Here is a 14,700-nt window from a genome sequence, read left to right as displayed (position 1 = left end):
TTCCTGATGTCTCCAAGCTTCCAGGCACCACTGCATTCTTGGTGTCAGCTGTGGAAGCTGCTTATGGTATGCCTGGTCCAGCCACAGACTTGCAGGAAGCGGGTGCTCATGCCAGCACCTGGAGCTGCCCACCCTGCTGCAGCCAGCATGCCTGGCTGTGTGCAGTGGCCAGACCCCATACTTCCTCACACACCCCTCATCACTCCATGACGGGCTCACCCTTGGCAGGTGTGGGACCCAGACCAGTAGCATGAGCTGAGCATAGCCTGCCAGGCCGAGTGGGCCGAATGAGCCCAGCAGGCCAGAGCAAAACATGAGCAAAGGCGCCACTGGCCACAGAGGTTTCTGGCTGGCAAAGTGACACCCCAAGGATCCTGTAACAGTAGGAGATTTAATAAGTAAATAAACATATAAGTATATTACTTCAATTTTTGATAAATGATAAATAAGGCAATGATCAAGGTGCTGTGTTAGAGAGAAAAAAGAGGGGAAACAGGAAGGTATTTCCAGCTTTCCATAAGGTACTTGAAGGCCTCTCTGAGGAGGTAAATTTAAGCTTACATGGAAGGATAAGCTAGAGCCAGTTCTGTGAAGAGAAGAGAAAATTATCTCAGGCAAAGGAAAAACATGGCCAAAGGCCATTAATTTGGGAAAAGCATACCCATTTATTGTTGGGAACTATAAAAGGGCCAGTGTAGCTGGTATTTGCTGCAAAACATTAATGATATTGTTTAGGTTCACGAAGCTGAAAAAGATGCTAAAACCTTGTGGACATTTTTATACATTTACCTCAATAATCAGCTTCCTTATGTATATTTCCCAAAGATAATGTGATTTGATTAGTGCCAAAATTGATATGAAATTATTTTAATTTAGAGGAAGAAAAGGACTATATAGAAATAGCATTCCCAAGAGTACCCTCTTGCCCACGACTTCAACTCCAGTCTCTGCAAAGATTTCTTTCACCAGCAATTTCTTTTTTGTTTCTCATTGCTATTTACATCTAAAATTATTTATATTTTTATGTAATAAGTAACTAACCAAGGCCCCATAAACTAGTTTATAGTATTCATCTTCTTCATGCATAGGTATTTGTCCATTTTTTTATTCCTTACTCCCTCACAGAGTTAGATTCCCTTCATTAAGGAAAATCTCGATTACCTAGGCCACCAGCTTTAGGTTCCAGTAGTTCTTTCCACCATGTATCTGACTTTGTCTGTTACCCTATAGGGTACAGAAAAGTGACGGATGCCTTCACTGAAAGTCCATTCCGTTTTACATGTAAAGTGTCAGAAGATAAGAATTATGTTCTAAGTTCTTTCTCAAAACAGTACCTAGTATTAATAGAACGTTTTGTGCCCAATGGACACTACGCAAACATTCTTAGCTGATTTAACAATTGAATTGAGAAGATTATGTATTTCTGGCTGTGTCACGTGTCCAGCTCATTAAATGCATCTTCATGTTAGCCAAAGAATTGAGTGAAATAATAAAGCATGTTTTTGGCAACAGCTCTTTCAGGTAGTCAAATTTTTAATTTTAAATTTGGATTTATTTTTCTGTTTGGTAAACCAATGAGACTTACACTTCAGATTCAAGTCAACATTTTAATTAATGTTTACTAGCATTAGGACAAATACCTAATGCATCTGGGGCTTAAAACCTAGATGACGGGTTGATAGGTGGAGCAAACCACCATGGCACATGTATACCTATGTAACAAACCTGTACGTACTGCACATGTATCCCAGAACTTAAAGTAAAATTTAAAAAAATAATAAGGCTTACTTGAATTTGCAATGGTATATTTGAAAAAAAAAATGGATATGTTGTTTTAATTTCACTAGCATTTTACAAATTTCAATGCAAGTTTTGGCAAAGAACCACATAGTTACATAACTACCTGGCATGCATCATTTTAGTACTATTTATTCAGAAAGGCCTTTTATAAAACAAACTTTCCTGCCAAAAAATAGGAAGTACAAATATTGTACTCTGATTGTGTATTACAACTTGTCAAAAGTGTGATGTGGTGACCTAATTCAGGAGGCCTGGGTTTGATTACAACTCTACCTCCAATTAAAACTCACAGTAGCTATTTTCTGAAGTCTGATATAGCATTCTCAAAGGTTCTAACTAGAATGAGGTTTCTTTTTTATTATTAATAACTTTTCTGTACCTACTATGGTTTTGAGAGGGTTTCTGAAATTGTCATAAAATTGGTTATTGGTTTTCCTTTACCTTCCAAAAGAAGACTGAGGGGTGTCTCCCTAAGGAAGAAAAGGTGCTAAAGCACTTGCAATTTGCTGCTTCAAACTAGGAGACTTATCTAGTGCATTTGTTCTAGAAAATTAGAATCATAGACATAGTCTCTCCTGGAAGACACTGAAAGTTCTAGGAAGCACTTGGCTACATTTGAAAGAAACACTCAAAAGAGATAGCTTAATCGAAGATGAAATCCCTCGGAAGAAACAAGAGAGGACTCGGTTCTAGGACCTCAGTCCCAGCACCATCAGGAAACCTTATTTTATCCCTATCTGCTTAGAGGATGCTTGGTATGGCAGAATTCTAATCCTACTTTGGGGTGTTGTCCCTTTGAAACTTAAAAGTATTGAAACAATCAATTCTCTCTTCCTCTTCCCTGCTAGCTTGTTGCCCTAGTTCATTCCTTTATCTCTTGCCCATATTCCTGCAATAACCACCGAATGCATGTCCCTGCCTACTGTAGAATGGCCTTGGAATTAATTTGAATGGCTTATTCAAATCCCCCAATCCCACCCATGGGAATGCTAAATTCAGCACTCTCTTCCTCTGTGCTTTAAATACATAAAGGATTTTTGAGAGCAAAGGAGAAAGCAGCATCACACTCATTCTCCACTGATATGGTTAGGCTTTGTGTCCCCACCCAAATCTCATCTTGAATTATAATTCCCATAATCCCCATAATCCCTATATGTCAAGGGACAGACCAGGTGGAGGTAACTGAATCATGGGGACAGTTTCCCCATGCTGTTCTCGTGATAGTGAGTGAGTTCTCATGAGATCTGATGGTTTCATAAAGGGCTCTTCCTTCTTTGCTCTTCTCCTTCCTGCTGCCTTGTGAAGAAGGTGCCTTGTTTCCACTTTGCCTTCTGCCATGATTGTAAGTTTCCAAAGCCGTGCTGAACTGTGAGTCAGTTGAATCTCTTTCCTTTATAAATTACCCATCCTTGGGCAGTTCTTTATAGCAGTGTGAGAATGAACTAATACATCCACATTCTCTCACTTCAAGCCTTAGAGCAGGATACCTCACGGTCCCAGCATGGACAGGATGTGTAGAATGTAGAGGAGATGCTCTGTTCATTGTGACCAGCTCTGCTTGAGCCCCAGCAGATTCTTGTTCATGTAGGAGAGAGGGGAATAGACCACCACCTGAAAAGGATGGAGGTAATGCCAAACACCTAGGCGTAGGTTTTATCTCTGCCCTCCTTCTTTCCATCAGAGCAGGAACTCTTTCTTATTCCTCCGTTTTCTTTAAGAAGAAGGATACTTATCTTTCATTGGCTTGTTTCTCTCTTAAAATCAAGGCAGAGGATTCAGGGTCTAATTACCATGGATTTACCTCCATTATCATTCATTGGAGACAAGCTCGGTTCTAAGCTTAGTTCTACTTTGGGAATTACGATATTCTTCTGGTGAGATTTACTGAGTTTCAAAATGTTTACTCAGTACTCACCAAAAACATGGTCTTTGTGACTTAATTTTTCATTTTTCTTTAGAAAATCACCAATACTTAAAGAGAAATTTTGCTATCTTCTTGTCTTTCTTCAGGATAATTACAAAGAGAACTTCAAGAAATTTCACATACCTTGCCTCTTGTCTTACTCCCTTCAGATATAGCTTTCCCACTGTCCCCAGACTGTAATATCCAAAAGGCAAATCTGACCATGCCACTTCTGCTTAATAAATATTCAGGGGCTTTACTTTGCCTCCAAGATTATTAATAGGCATCAAGGGCCCCTCGAGATGGGTTCCCATTGCTCCCTGCACTACCCAACATTCTCAGACAACATTAAAATGCTGCGCACACCATGCAGGGTTTTATTTTCTTTCTTGCTTTCTGTCTTGCTACTCCTCCTCCTTGAATATTCTCTCATCCTTCCCCTTTGTCTTGGCAAATTCCTGCTCATTTTTTAGGGTTTAGTTTTATCTTCACTCCTCCAGAATATCTCCTCTGATCTCAATGTGTCTGCTGTCTCTTTGTAACCTGGTATAAGTCTCTTTTCGTGTATCATGTTATCATTTAATTTTCTGTTTATGTGTTTGTTCTTTCACAGGTCTATTCATCTAACTCCAGCCGCTGGCAGAGAAGCTAACAAGAATAGAGATCCACCAGTGTTTCTTTTCTTTTCTTTCCTTTTTTTTTTTTTTTTTTTTGAGGTTCTCCATACTCGATTTTTAAAAAATAATTTTTCTCTTTCTTTTTCTTTTTCCTTTTTTTAATTTCAATAGATTTGTGGGAAACAGGTGGTGTTTGGTTACACGAATAAGTTCTTTAGTGGTGAGTTCTGAGATCTTGGAGCACCCATCACTTGAGCGGTGTACACTGTACCACCCTTCTCCCACCCTTTCCCCTGAGTCCCCAAAGTTCACTGTACCATTGTTATGCTTTTGCGTCCTCATTTGCGTTCCCACTTATGAGTGAGAACATACAGTGTTTGGTTTTCCATTCCTGAGTTACTTCACTTAGAATAATGGTCTCTAATTCCATCCAGTTTGGGCCTTTCAGGATTGGTTTCCTCTGCAGTACTTATGAGGGCAGGAAGGTGGCAGCATTTAGCTATCAGTGAGTTCATGCTGACGCTAGGAAGAGAAACAGAAATAACCACTCCTATCTTGGGACATTTTTCCAACTGCCTTGATTGCTTCTCTTTTCCAGCAGAACTGAGAAAATAAGGCCACAGTTGAGAATTTTGTGCTTGATGGAGACATCAAACCCAGAAATGCTGGACTGGCTGAGCAACTTGAGTAAAGCTCATCCTCCCACTTTTGTCATGCAGGCCCTGGGAACTGCTTTAGGAATGAGAAAAATGGACATAAAATGATCTGATCAGTATGTAAATTATTATCTTGCTTACAGTTTCATATACTAAGGGAATTATTGGGGGAGATTGCTTATATCTTCAATGTGACTTCAAGTCTATCTTTTTATACTTTATTTGCATTTATTAGTGTTTAATCCCACAGAATGATCCCATTCTCCTATTTTAAGTGTTCTAATTCCCGCACACAATTCCTCTACCTATAGGTTCTAAATTTATAATTGTAGGTTGAAAGAATGGTTTTGTTCATTCAACCCTAAGCATTCAGTGGTTGCTACATTCTTCATGTTACATTTTCTCAGTTCCTTATGTTGGTTAACGTCTTACTGATTAGGCTGAGAACTAGAATTTCCATCACAGTAGTACTCATGCTGAGTAGTCACTGCTTATTGATTTGTCTGGTGGAAAACCTGAAGGTAGGACCTGTATCAGTCAGGGTCTTAGCAGGGAACCCCTGTTTAATCAAGTTAGGGCTTAATGGGAGATAATTTTCTTTCCAGAGGTACAGGCAGGGTTAATCACTCCAATAAGGGATGTTGAAGTATCCAGGGTTTCGCTACAGTGGGAAGCTATTATTGCCCCTAGGCCTGAAGGTCGATGACAAGGAAGTTACTAGAATCTGGCAAGTGATGGAGTGGAGCTATAGCCAAGGGGCTGCCTGAGAGGAGCAGTGGCCAAATGTGATTGAGAATTGCTGGTGAAATGATTCACCAACCACAGGAAGAGGCTGACCATCATAGACCACATTTCAATGACTTATGTTTCATTAATGAGTCATCATCAATTTCTCTTTCATTTTGATAGCCCCCTCTTAGGATTCAGGTTTTGAGGTAACTCTTCTACTAGACAACATTTTAAAGTAGTAACTATTTTTCTCATTGCTATTAACCAAGCCACACATTAATGCCGAGCTTCTGTTAAGTAAAAAATAACTAGGGATACCAGACTGAGTTTTTCAGCCCAGTCAGAAGAAAAGCAATTTGACATACTGTTACCCTTTGCAGTCTTAGCAAGAGAAAGACAATGCGCTTGTTTATTGTCTAAATTAGCACTTTGCCCCTGATACTCCTCAAAGCTGAAAGACCCTCTAAGATCAAGAACTGATGAAGTAAGTCTTCAGATTTGATAAACTGGTGTTCTATAGGGAAATTAAAGCCAATGTGAAATTTGCAGTTGACTTTTGTGATGACTACCTTCCCCTTTTAAATTCTGAGTGTATTATGCATTTAAATATAAATTGGTCTTTTCAGGGCTATAGAAAAATGTGCTGCTCAAAAGGAGATTTCCATCTCGAAAAGGCAAATTACTGGGAAAAATGAATCTGTTTTCTCTGCCAAGGTAAGCTACTAATTTATGAAACACGCTGGGGACTTGAAGCAGGATATTCGGCACCACACCTTCTGATCACACCCACTCTTTGTTGAGTAGCTGGATTCTGTTTTCTCATTTAACACATGGTTTCTTTCCCTAAAAATGAGAATGAAAAATCTTGCTCTTTGAGAAACAAAGTTGGAACTTTGTGTATTTTTTATGGCATTATTTTGAGTATGAGTTTTGAGGTAACTATTTTCAGATTCCAGGAAGCTATGAGGCCATATCTAGTTTCAGAGTTGCATTGCTGTTACAGGCTCAGCATTAGGTAACATATTTTGTTTTCAGTCTGTTTCAGCTCCAGTATTGACTGGTTTCTCTCTCTTGAACTTTGCATCCACAATTCAGTTTAGGGAGAGTCAAGAACATAAGTGTTTTAATCATTAACCATTAACTTTTAAAGCACCGTTAATCCCGTGTATGATTAGCTCAGCTTTCAGAATCAGAATTCAGAAATATGGTAAAAATCACCAGGACAAACTTCTAACAGTTTTCACAAGTATTCCCAAAGTGATGATCAAAGCCTACAGTAACAGATCTTTTAAAAGAAGGGGCTTCCTTATGGGCTGGGCCCCCCCAACAGGGGTAGTTGATTAAGAAAATCTTACCACTTTCTTACAACTTTATAGAAAATAAGTCATGTTAAAGCACAGGGGTAGTGAAAGGAGTGTTTAAGAAGTGGTCTCAACTGAGGTTTTGGGGTGCCAGTGGAGCTCCTTTGCCTTGGTTCCAGCAGAAGAGTGATGCATGTGAAGCATGTGGTTATGAGTGCCCCAGGTCCTTTTGGGCTTTAGCTGCTTACCACATGGTGAAAAGGAATGGTGATAGAAATCCAAAGTGAACTTTTTAATATTATTATTATGGCTTTATATATAGTCAAAAGAGCTCACCTTCTTCTCCTAGCTCAGACATGGGTTTGGCTAAGGCAGGAGAAATGGGGTTGGGGAGGTTGGGAGCAGGGCATGCAATGCTCTTCTGAAAAAATAGGGACATAAAGGAGATATGCCCGCAACTCTCCATCAGGTTGAAGGATTCTTTCTATTAGCCTTTCAGCATTTGGATCCTTATGATTTTGGTGCTTCTCTGTAGCATTGGAGACATAGAAGGAGACTGCCTCCTGCTGGGGTCAGTATTTTCTGCATCCCATGAACGGAAGTGAGAACAGCCTTGGGAGCTAATGCCGAAGGTGGGAGAATCTGATGCCCTCAGTCTCCAGTGAACTAAAGTAAGAGTCTTACTACTTTCAGTGCTTGGGAACTGCTGCAATACATGGGCTGCTCCAACTTATTTCCTTAAACCTCCACTCACCAGATTTTCAGATGCTGCACAGGTGGAATGGTGGATCAAGTTCTAAATGTCACATGACTGTCTTGTTTAGTTATATGTTGGGTGTAGCCCGTGGAGTACTCAGGCCCTAAAGAAACCCTTTTGGATGAATAAACATCCCAGAGTCCTTATGCTAGTTCTACCTGTGAGGTGTTTGCTACGGTCTGAAAGTTTATGTAACCCCAGCACTCATATGTTAAAATTCTAAAACCCCCAATCCCCTTGATAGTATTTGGAGGCAGAGCCTTTGGAAGGTAATTAGGTCATGGGGGAAAAGGCCTTATGAATGGGGTTAGTGCTCTTATAAAAGAGGCCAGAGGCCAGGTATGAAGGCTCATGCCTGTAATCCCAGCACTTTCACAGGCTGAAAGCTAGGATCGCTTGAGCCCAGGAGTTCAAGACCAGCCTGGGCAACATAGTGAGACCCTGTCTCTACAAATAATTTTAAAATTAGCCCAACATAGTGGTGTGTGCCTGTAATCCTAGCTACTCAGGAGGCTGAAGTGGGAGGATCACATGAGCCCAAGAAGTCAAGGCTGCAGTGAGTAGGAAGGTACCTGCCTTCAAACCAGGAAGAGGGTCCTCACTAGACACCCAAACTGCCAGCACCTTGATCTTGGACTTCCCAGCCTCCAGGGCTGTGAGAAATAAATTCCTGTGATTTGTAAGCCACCCAGTCTATGGTATTTTGTTACAGCAGCCCAAATGGACTGAGGTAGTATTCCTAGTCCCATCTCACATCTTAGACTACAAGTCCTAGAGAATACATGCTGAGAGGAAAAAGCTTTTAGGTGTTTCAGGGCATCTCCTATTACCCCCATTACCCTCTTCTCCCTAAAGTCATGGAGTGAGGGGGTTCAGAATTACCTGAAGCACAGAAATTTATACTAGGAGACCATATAACACCCTTTTGTTGGCTGTCAGGCCCATGAGGTAACCTAGTGCCCAGAGCCCCCTCACTTGAGATCTTGGAGGTTCCCTGTCAAAGGCCTAGAAAAACTAGAGTTGAAGGCTGCCACTGCAGCTCAATGCAATTCCCATTTCACCTTCCAGTAAGAGCTTTCAACACCTCCCTGATCCTCCTAAAATCCTTTCATCGGTGATGGCCCAGAGGATAGTCTCTGCCTGAAGTCTCACCAGCTCAGAGTAGAGTTTCCATTATGAGAAACTCTGATGCTTCCATGCACATGGAGTGGGTAGATGGGTAGGGCAGGGCAATGGACATGTTTGGATGTACCAAGAAGGAAAGAGGAAAGGTCAGAGTCATCTTCTTCCTTATAGGCAATGCTCAATTTCCTATTTATAAAATGGGTAAAATCCCCTGCCCCATCCCCTTGCTGGAGTAATAGTGCAAAGCAGGTGAATCAGGAAGGATAATCAGGTCCTCAGTGGCATCAGTGGATTCTTACACTGTCTGAACCCTTAAGGTTAGAGGCAAGCAATATTTTTCCTAAGAGTCTGCAGAGAAGTCATGAGGAGTTTAAGTTTCTGTTATTCTACTAACTGTTTAACCTTTGGAACAGTTACTTCAAATCACTCAGCTTCAGTTTTTGCCTGTATAAAATATAATAGTAAATATCTTCTAGCATTTCCATGATAAACTATGGAGATGGTGAGGTCTGCCCAATTGCAGATGAGAGAAATTCACCCTCAAGCTTTGTTGAGCAGCTCTCCCTGTGTGGTTGCCATCCCCTCCTACTGCAATCTGCTTTCCTTGTGCAGTGGACAAATAGAATACAGATGGCTCAAGACTCAGGTCATCCCAGTATAGCAGATCCAGAAGAAAGAAAACTTCCCTCTCCTAGAATCTTTTCTTAAAAATCCCAAAGAAGAGCTCAAACAAGCATGGCTGGGGCCATGTGTTCATCCCAGAGCCAATATCTTTGAATGGAACAATGTGATGCTGTGATTGAACAGAGTTGGGTCTTGTGCTTATCTCCATGGCTGGGTTGTTGCAGTGGCAGGTTCATTGGAAAAACATGGAGTAAGGGAAGGATAATTCCCAAATGAAGAGGATTTATTATAAAAAGAAGGAAGAATCGAATGCTCTGGATTCAGTAACAACAGACATCCATGACAAATTGAGAATGTGTTAAGTCATGGAATACAAGGAAGTGTGAACAACCAAACCAAGAACAGCATAGGAAGGCACTTAGGCCTCGGCAATGCCAGAACAGAACTTGGCTTCAGCACAGGGTTCCTCTTTACTGTTATATCTACTTCTTTGTGTAAGTTTGCTTCTTTTTACTTCACTATACACTGGCTTTCTCCACATGTCATGAAACATAGTGGGTATTAGTACCACTCCCACCAACAATTCATGTCCTCCATTCCCACCAATGACTCATGTTCTTTTCATAGAAGGGTTGATATGGAAGCAGGGTGTTTAGGCAACTCTGAGACACAGAAGGCCTTCACTTTGTGATCCCCCATGTTCATCTTCTGCCCCTTTTCTTCATCTCTGGAGTCATCCATCTCCTGTGTATTAGCCAACATTGGTAAATGGCTATATAGCTCATTATCCGACCAGTACAATTTTTTTAATTTTTATTTTTTGGCGGTATATAGTAGGTATATATATTTATGGGGTATGTGAAAATTTTTGATATAGGCATGCAATGTGTAATAATCTCATCAGGATAAATGGAGTATCCATCATCTCAACCATTTATCCTTTATGTTATGAATAATCTAATTATACCCTTTCAGTTATTTTTAAATGAGCAATTAAATTATTATTGACTATAGTCACCCTGTTGTGCTGTCAATTTGTTATTCATTCCAACAATATTTTGGTACCTACCATCCCCACTTCCCCTGATCCGCCCATTACCCTTCTCAGCATCTGGTAGCCATCTTTCTACTCTATCTCCATGAATTCAATTGTTTTAATTTTTAGCTCCCACAAATAAGTGAAAACATGTGAAGTTTGGGTCTTTCGGTGACTGGCTTATTTCACTTTACATAATGATGTCCAGTTCCATCAGTGTTGTTGCAAATGACAGGATCTCATTTTTTATGGCTGAACAGTACCCCATTGTGTATATGTACCACAGTTTCTTTCTTTTCTTTTTTTTTTCTTAAAAGATGGGGTCTTGCTTTGTCACCCAGGCTGGAGTACAGTGGTGTGATCATGGCTCACTGCCACCTTGAACTCCCAGGCTCAAGGGATCCTACTGCCTCAGCATCCTGAGTAGCTGGGTCTAGAGATGTGAGCCACCATGCCTGGGTAATTAAACAACAAAAACAAAAACAAAAATGTAGAGATGGGGCCTTGCCATCTTGCCCACATTGGTCTCAAACTCCTGGACTCAAGCAGTTCTCCTGCCTTTGCCTCCCAAAGTGGTAAGATAAAAGGCATGAGCCACCACACCCAGCCTCACATTTTCTTTATCCATTCATTTGTTGATGGACACTTGGGTTGCTTCCAAATCTTGGCCACTGTGAAGAGTACCACAACAAACATGGGAATGCACATATCTCTTTGATATCCTGATTTCTTTTATTTTGGGTGTATACACAACAGTGAGACTGCTGGATCATATGGCAACTCTATTTTTAGTTTGTTTAGGAACCGACAAACTGTTCTGCTTAGGAGTTGTACTAATTTACATCCCCACTAACAGTTTACAAGGGTTCCCTTTTCTTCACATCCTTGCTAGAATTTGTTATTTCCTGCCTTTGAATAAAGCCATTTTAACTGGAGAGGGCATCTCCTTGAGGTTTTGATTTGCATTTATCTTATGATGAATGATGTTAAGCACCTTTTCATATAGCTGATTGCCATCTGTATGTCTTCTTTTGAGATATGTCTACTCAGACCTTTTGCCCATGTTTTAATTGGATTATTAAATTTTTTCCTATAGAATTGTTTGAGCTCCTCATTTATTCTGGTTATTAATCTCTTGTCAGATGGGTAGATTGCAAATATTTTCTCTCACTCTGTGGATTGACTCTTCATTTTGTTGATTGTTTCTTTTGCTGTGCAGAAGCTTTTTACCTTTTGTGTTCCCATTTGTCTGTTTTTGCTTTGGTTGCCTGTGCTTGTGGGGTATTACTCAAGAAATCTTTGCCCACTCCAACGTCTTGGAGACTTTCCTGAAAGTTTTCATTTAGTAATTCCATAATTTGAGGCCTTAGATTTACGTATTTAATACATTTTGATTTTATTTTTGTATATAGTCAGAGATAGGGGTCAAGCTTTATTCTTTTGCATATGGATATCCATTTTTCCCAGAACTATTTATTGAAGAAACTCTCCTTTCCCCAATGTATGATATTGGTGGCTTCATCAAAAATTAGTTCACTCTAGATGTATGAATTTGTTTCTGAGTTCTCTATGCTGTTCCATTGGTCTTTTTGTTTGTTTTTATGGCAGTACCATGCTGTTTTGCTTATTATAGCTCTGTGCTATAATTTAAAGTCAGGTAATGTGATTCCTTCACTTCTTTAGCTTAGGATAGCTTTGGCTATTCTGGGGCTTCTGTGGTTCAATATAAATTTCAGGATTGTTTTTTCCATTTCTGTGAAGAATGTCTGGTATTTTGATAGGGATTGCACTGAATCTGTAGACTGCTTTGGGTAGTATGAACATTTTAACAATATTGATTCTTCCAATGCATGAACATGAAATGTCTTTTCATTTTTTTGTAGCATCTTCAATTTCTTGCATCAGTGTTTTATACTTTTCATTGTAGAGATCTTTCACTTCTTTGGTTAATTCCTTGGTATTTTATTTTATTTTATTTGTTGCTTTTGTAAATAAGATTACTTTCTTGATTTCTGTTTCAGATTGTTTGCTGTTGGTGTATAGAAATGCTACTGATTTTGTATGTTTATTTTGTATCCTGAAACTTTACTGAATTTGTTTATCAGTTCTAATAGTTTCTTTGTTGGAGCCTTTAGGCTTTTCCAAATATAAGATCATATTATGGGCAAACAAGGATAAATTTGAATTCTTCCTTTCAATTTGATGCCCTTTCTTTCTTTCTTTTGTCTGATTACTCTAGCTAGGATTTCAGTACTATGTTGAATAATGGTGGTAAAAATGGGCAGCTTTATCATGTTCCTGACCTTAGAGGAAAGGCTTTCAGCTTTTCTCCATTCAGTAGGATACTAGCTATGGGTCTGTCGTATATAGCTTTTATTATGTTGAGGTACATTCCTTCTATGCCCAGTTTTTTCAGGATTTTCAACATCTCATGATGCAATATTGAATTTTATCAATGCTTTTTCAGCTTCCATGGAAACGATCATATGATTTTTGTCCTTCATTCTGTTGATATGATGTATCACATTGATTGATTTGCATATGTTGAACCATCCTTGAAGCTATGGGACAAATCTCACTTGATCATGATGAATGACCTTGTTAATGTGTTTCTGAATTCTGTTTGCTAGTATTTTGGTGATAATTTTTGCATCCGTATTCATCAGAGATATTGGCCTGTAGTTTTCTTTTTTCAATGTGTCTTTGCCTGTTTTCGGTATAAAGTATTACTGGCCTTGTACAATGAGTTTGGAAATATTCCTCCTCTATATTTAGAACAGTTTGAGTAGGATGGGTATTAGTTCTTCAAAAGTTTGATGGAATTCACCAGTGAAACCATAAGATCCTGGGCTTTTCTTTGCTGGGAAATCTTTTATTATGGCTTTGATCTCATTACTTCTTATTGGTCTGTTCAGGTTTTATATTTTTTCATAGTTCAATCTTGGTAGGTTGTATGTGTCTAGGAATTTATTCATTTCTTCTAGATTTTCCAGTTTTTGGCATACAGCTACTCATAGTAGCCACTAATGATCCTTTGAATTTCTGAAGTGTCAGTTATAATGTCTCCTTTTTCATTTCTGATTTTATTTATCTGGATCTTCCCTCTTTTTTTCTTAGTGACTTGGATAAACATTTGTCAAATTTGTTTATCTTTTCAAAAGACCAACTTTAAGTTCTCTTATATTATTCTTTTCAATAAACTTTCTACTCCTATCACTTTCTCTGCCTCCTCTTTAGGTCACTAACTCTTAAGGTTTGTCCCTCTGAGGCTTTTTTCTAGATCTTGCAAGCATGCTTTTTCAGTTTTTTTCTTTTTTCTTTTTGTCTTCTCTGTGTATTTTCAAATAGTCTGTCTTCAGTCTCACTAATTCTTTCTTCTGCTTGATCAATTCTGCTATTAAGAGACTAAGATGCATTCTTCAGCATGTCAATTACATTTTTCAAATCGAGAATTTCTGCTTGATTCTAATTATTTCAATCTCTTTGTTAAATTTATCCGTTAAAATTCTGAATTCCTTCTCTGTGTTACCTTGAATTTCTTTGAATTTCCTCAAAACAGCTATTTTGAATTCTCTTCCTGAAAGATCACATAACTCTATTTCTCCAGGATTGGTTTCTAGTGTCTTAAGTAGTTCATTTGGTGGCATCATGTTTTCCCGGATGGCCTTCATGCTTGTGAATGTTCATAAGTGTCTGTGCATTAAAGAGTTAGCTATTTATTGTAGTCTTGAGTCTGAGCTTGTTTGCACTGTCCTTCTTGAGAATGCTTTCCAGATATGAAAGGGACTTGAGTGTTGTGATCTAAGCCATATCTGCTTTAGGGATCTCCAAGTTCAGTTATGCTGTGGTTCTTGCAGACTCACAGAGGGGGTTTTTGTTCTTGCAGACTCACCTTGGTGGTCTTGGATAAAATCAAGAATAATTCTCTGGATTACCAGGCAGAGACTTATGTTCTCTTCCTTTATTTTCTTCCAAACAAGTGGAATTTTTTTCTTTGTGCTGAGTCATCTGAATCTGAGGATAGGGTGACACAGGCATCCCTGTGGCCACAACCACTGTAACCACTACCTAGCTACTAACTATGTTCATTCAAGGCCGTAAAGCTCTAAGCCAGCAAGAATACTTCAGCCTGTGACATCAAGGCTTGCTGAA

At 39.3% G+C, this 14,700-nt stretch overlaps 1 long non-coding RNA gene across 3 annotated transcripts in view, besides 13 other annotated features; it reads left to right on the top strand.

Annotated features, from left to right (window-relative positions):
• Nucleotides 370-7,516: an enhancer, noted in NCBI's record as "7.1 kb BamHI fragment used in the 7.1KF+SV40, 7.1KF+ADH1A, 7.1KF+ADH1B and 7.1KF+ADH1C reporter constructs". NCBI's record gives its function as "activates ADH gene promoters by reporter assays in HepG2 cells {active_cell/tissue: HepG2}" and the evidence as "EXISTENCE:reporter gene assay evidence [ECO:0000049][PMID:16675441]".
• Nucleotides 1,783-2,124: a transcriptional cis regulatory region, noted in NCBI's record as "E fragment used in the 275/344+SV40, 275/344+ADH1A, 275/344+ADH1B and 275/344+ADH1C reporter constructs". NCBI's record gives its function as "cooperates with the D enhancer by reporter assays in HepG2 cells {active_cell/tissue: HepG2}" and the evidence as "EXISTENCE:reporter gene assay evidence [ECO:0000049][PMID:16675441]".
• Nucleotides 1,790-2,790: a DNaseI hypersensitive site, noted in NCBI's record as "HS site E observed in liver of transgenic mice with a human ADH transgene; the nucleotide coordinates are approximate for this feature". NCBI's record gives its function as "accessible chromatin region in transgenic mouse liver {active_cell/tissue: liver}" and the evidence as "EXISTENCE:in vivo cleavage assay evidence [ECO:0001075][PMID:16675441]".
• Nucleotides 1,860-1,909: a protein binding site, noted in NCBI's record as "NF-1 site in the E region; 50 bp (CA138481-138530) oligo". NCBI's record gives its function as "binds NF-1 from mouse liver nuclear extract {active_cell/tissue: liver}" and the evidence as "EXISTENCE:protein binding evidence [ECO:0000024][PMID:16675441]".
• Nucleotides 4,554-5,499: an enhancer blocking element, noted in NCBI's record as "iA1C fragment used in reporter constructs". NCBI's record gives its function as "blocks ENH activation of the ADH7 promoter when located between the enhancer and promoter in HepG2 cells {active_cell/tissue: HepG2}" and the evidence as "EXISTENCE:reporter gene assay evidence [ECO:0000049][PMID:24971505]".
• Nucleotides 4,704-4,998: a silencer, noted in NCBI's record as "tiled region #3022; K562 Repressive DNase unmatched - State 12:CtcfO". NCBI's record gives its function as "represses a minimal TATA promoter and a strong SV40 promoter by Sharpr-MPRA in K562 cells {active_cell/tissue: K562}" and the evidence as "EXISTENCE:reporter gene assay evidence [ECO:0000049][PMID:27701403]".
• LOC102723576 (uncharacterized) overlaps nucleotides 4,930-14,700 on the top strand; it is a 26,889-nt gene continuing 17,118 nt past the window's right edge. For 2 of the 3 annotated variants that reach the window (XR_939020.3, XR_427569.4), the window contains exons 1-3: nucleotides 5,130-6,189; nucleotides 6,332-6,419; nucleotides 7,542-7,677. This is a non-coding gene — a long non-coding RNA (uncharacterized LOC102723576). Of the gene's footprint in view, nucleotides 5,093-5,129; nucleotides 6,190-6,331; nucleotides 6,420-7,541; nucleotides 7,678-14,700 lie in introns of those variants that run through there. The other variant, XR_001741777.2, reaches the window with a different exon arrangement.
• Nucleotides 5,550-5,739: an enhancer, noted in NCBI's record as "active region_21738". NCBI's record gives its function as "activates an Ori minimal core promoter by ATAC-STARR-seq in GM12878 lymphoblastoid cells {active_cell/tissue: GM12878}" and the evidence as "EXISTENCE:reporter gene assay evidence [ECO:0000049][PMID:35858748]".
• Nucleotides 6,398-7,398: a DNaseI hypersensitive site, noted in NCBI's record as "HS site D observed in liver of transgenic mice with a human ADH transgene; the nucleotide coordinates are approximate for this feature". NCBI's record gives its function as "accessible chromatin region in transgenic mouse liver {active_cell/tissue: liver}" and the evidence as "EXISTENCE:in vivo cleavage assay evidence [ECO:0001075][PMID:16675441]".
• Nucleotides 6,625-6,899: an enhancer, noted in NCBI's record as "275 bp D or ENH enhancer fragment". NCBI's record gives its function as "activates ADH gene promoters by reporter assays in HepG2 and CP-A cells {active_cell/tissue: HepG2 | CP-A}" and the evidence as "EXISTENCE:reporter gene assay evidence [ECO:0000049][PMID:16675441, PMID:24971505]".
• Nucleotides 6,713-6,857: an enhancer, noted in NCBI's record as "145 bp enhancer 160 fragment used in the MPRA reporter construct; PK_construct_2059". NCBI's record gives its function as "activates an SV40 promoter by MPRA in HepG2 cells {active_cell/tissue: HepG2}" and the evidence as "EXISTENCE:reporter gene assay evidence [ECO:0000049][PMID:23512712]".
• Nucleotides 6,778-6,791: a transcriptional cis regulatory region, noted in NCBI's record as "HNF4 motif; MPRA enhancer 160 activity is reduced when this motif is scrambled". NCBI's record gives its function as "necessary for full MPRA enhancer 160 activity in HepG2 cells {active_cell/tissue: HepG2}" and the evidence as "EXISTENCE:site-directed mutagenesis evidence [ECO:0005528][PMID:23512712]".
• Nucleotides 6,821-6,849: a protein binding site, noted in NCBI's record as "HNF1 site in the D region, 29 bp (CA133549-133577) oligo". NCBI's record gives its function as "binds HNF1 from mouse liver nuclear extract {active_cell/tissue: liver}" and the evidence as "EXISTENCE:protein binding evidence [ECO:0000024][PMID:16675441]".
• Nucleotides 6,836-6,847: a transcriptional cis regulatory region, noted in NCBI's record as "core sequence of two HNF1 motifs; enhancer D activity is reduced when this region is mutated". NCBI's record gives its function as "necessary for enhancer D activity in HepG2 cells {active_cell/tissue: HepG2}" and the evidence as "EXISTENCE:site-directed mutagenesis evidence [ECO:0005528][PMID:16675441]".

Source organism: Homo sapiens, chromosome 4 (assembly GCF_000001405.40).
Source record: "Homo sapiens chromosome 4, GRCh38.p14 Primary Assembly".
In the NCBI taxonomy this organism is placed as follows: Eukaryota; Metazoa; Chordata; class Mammalia; order Primates; family Hominidae; genus Homo; species Homo sapiens.
The sequence above is the reverse complement of the archived record's forward strand: the minus strand, read 5'-3'. Positions and strand labels throughout refer to the sequence as shown.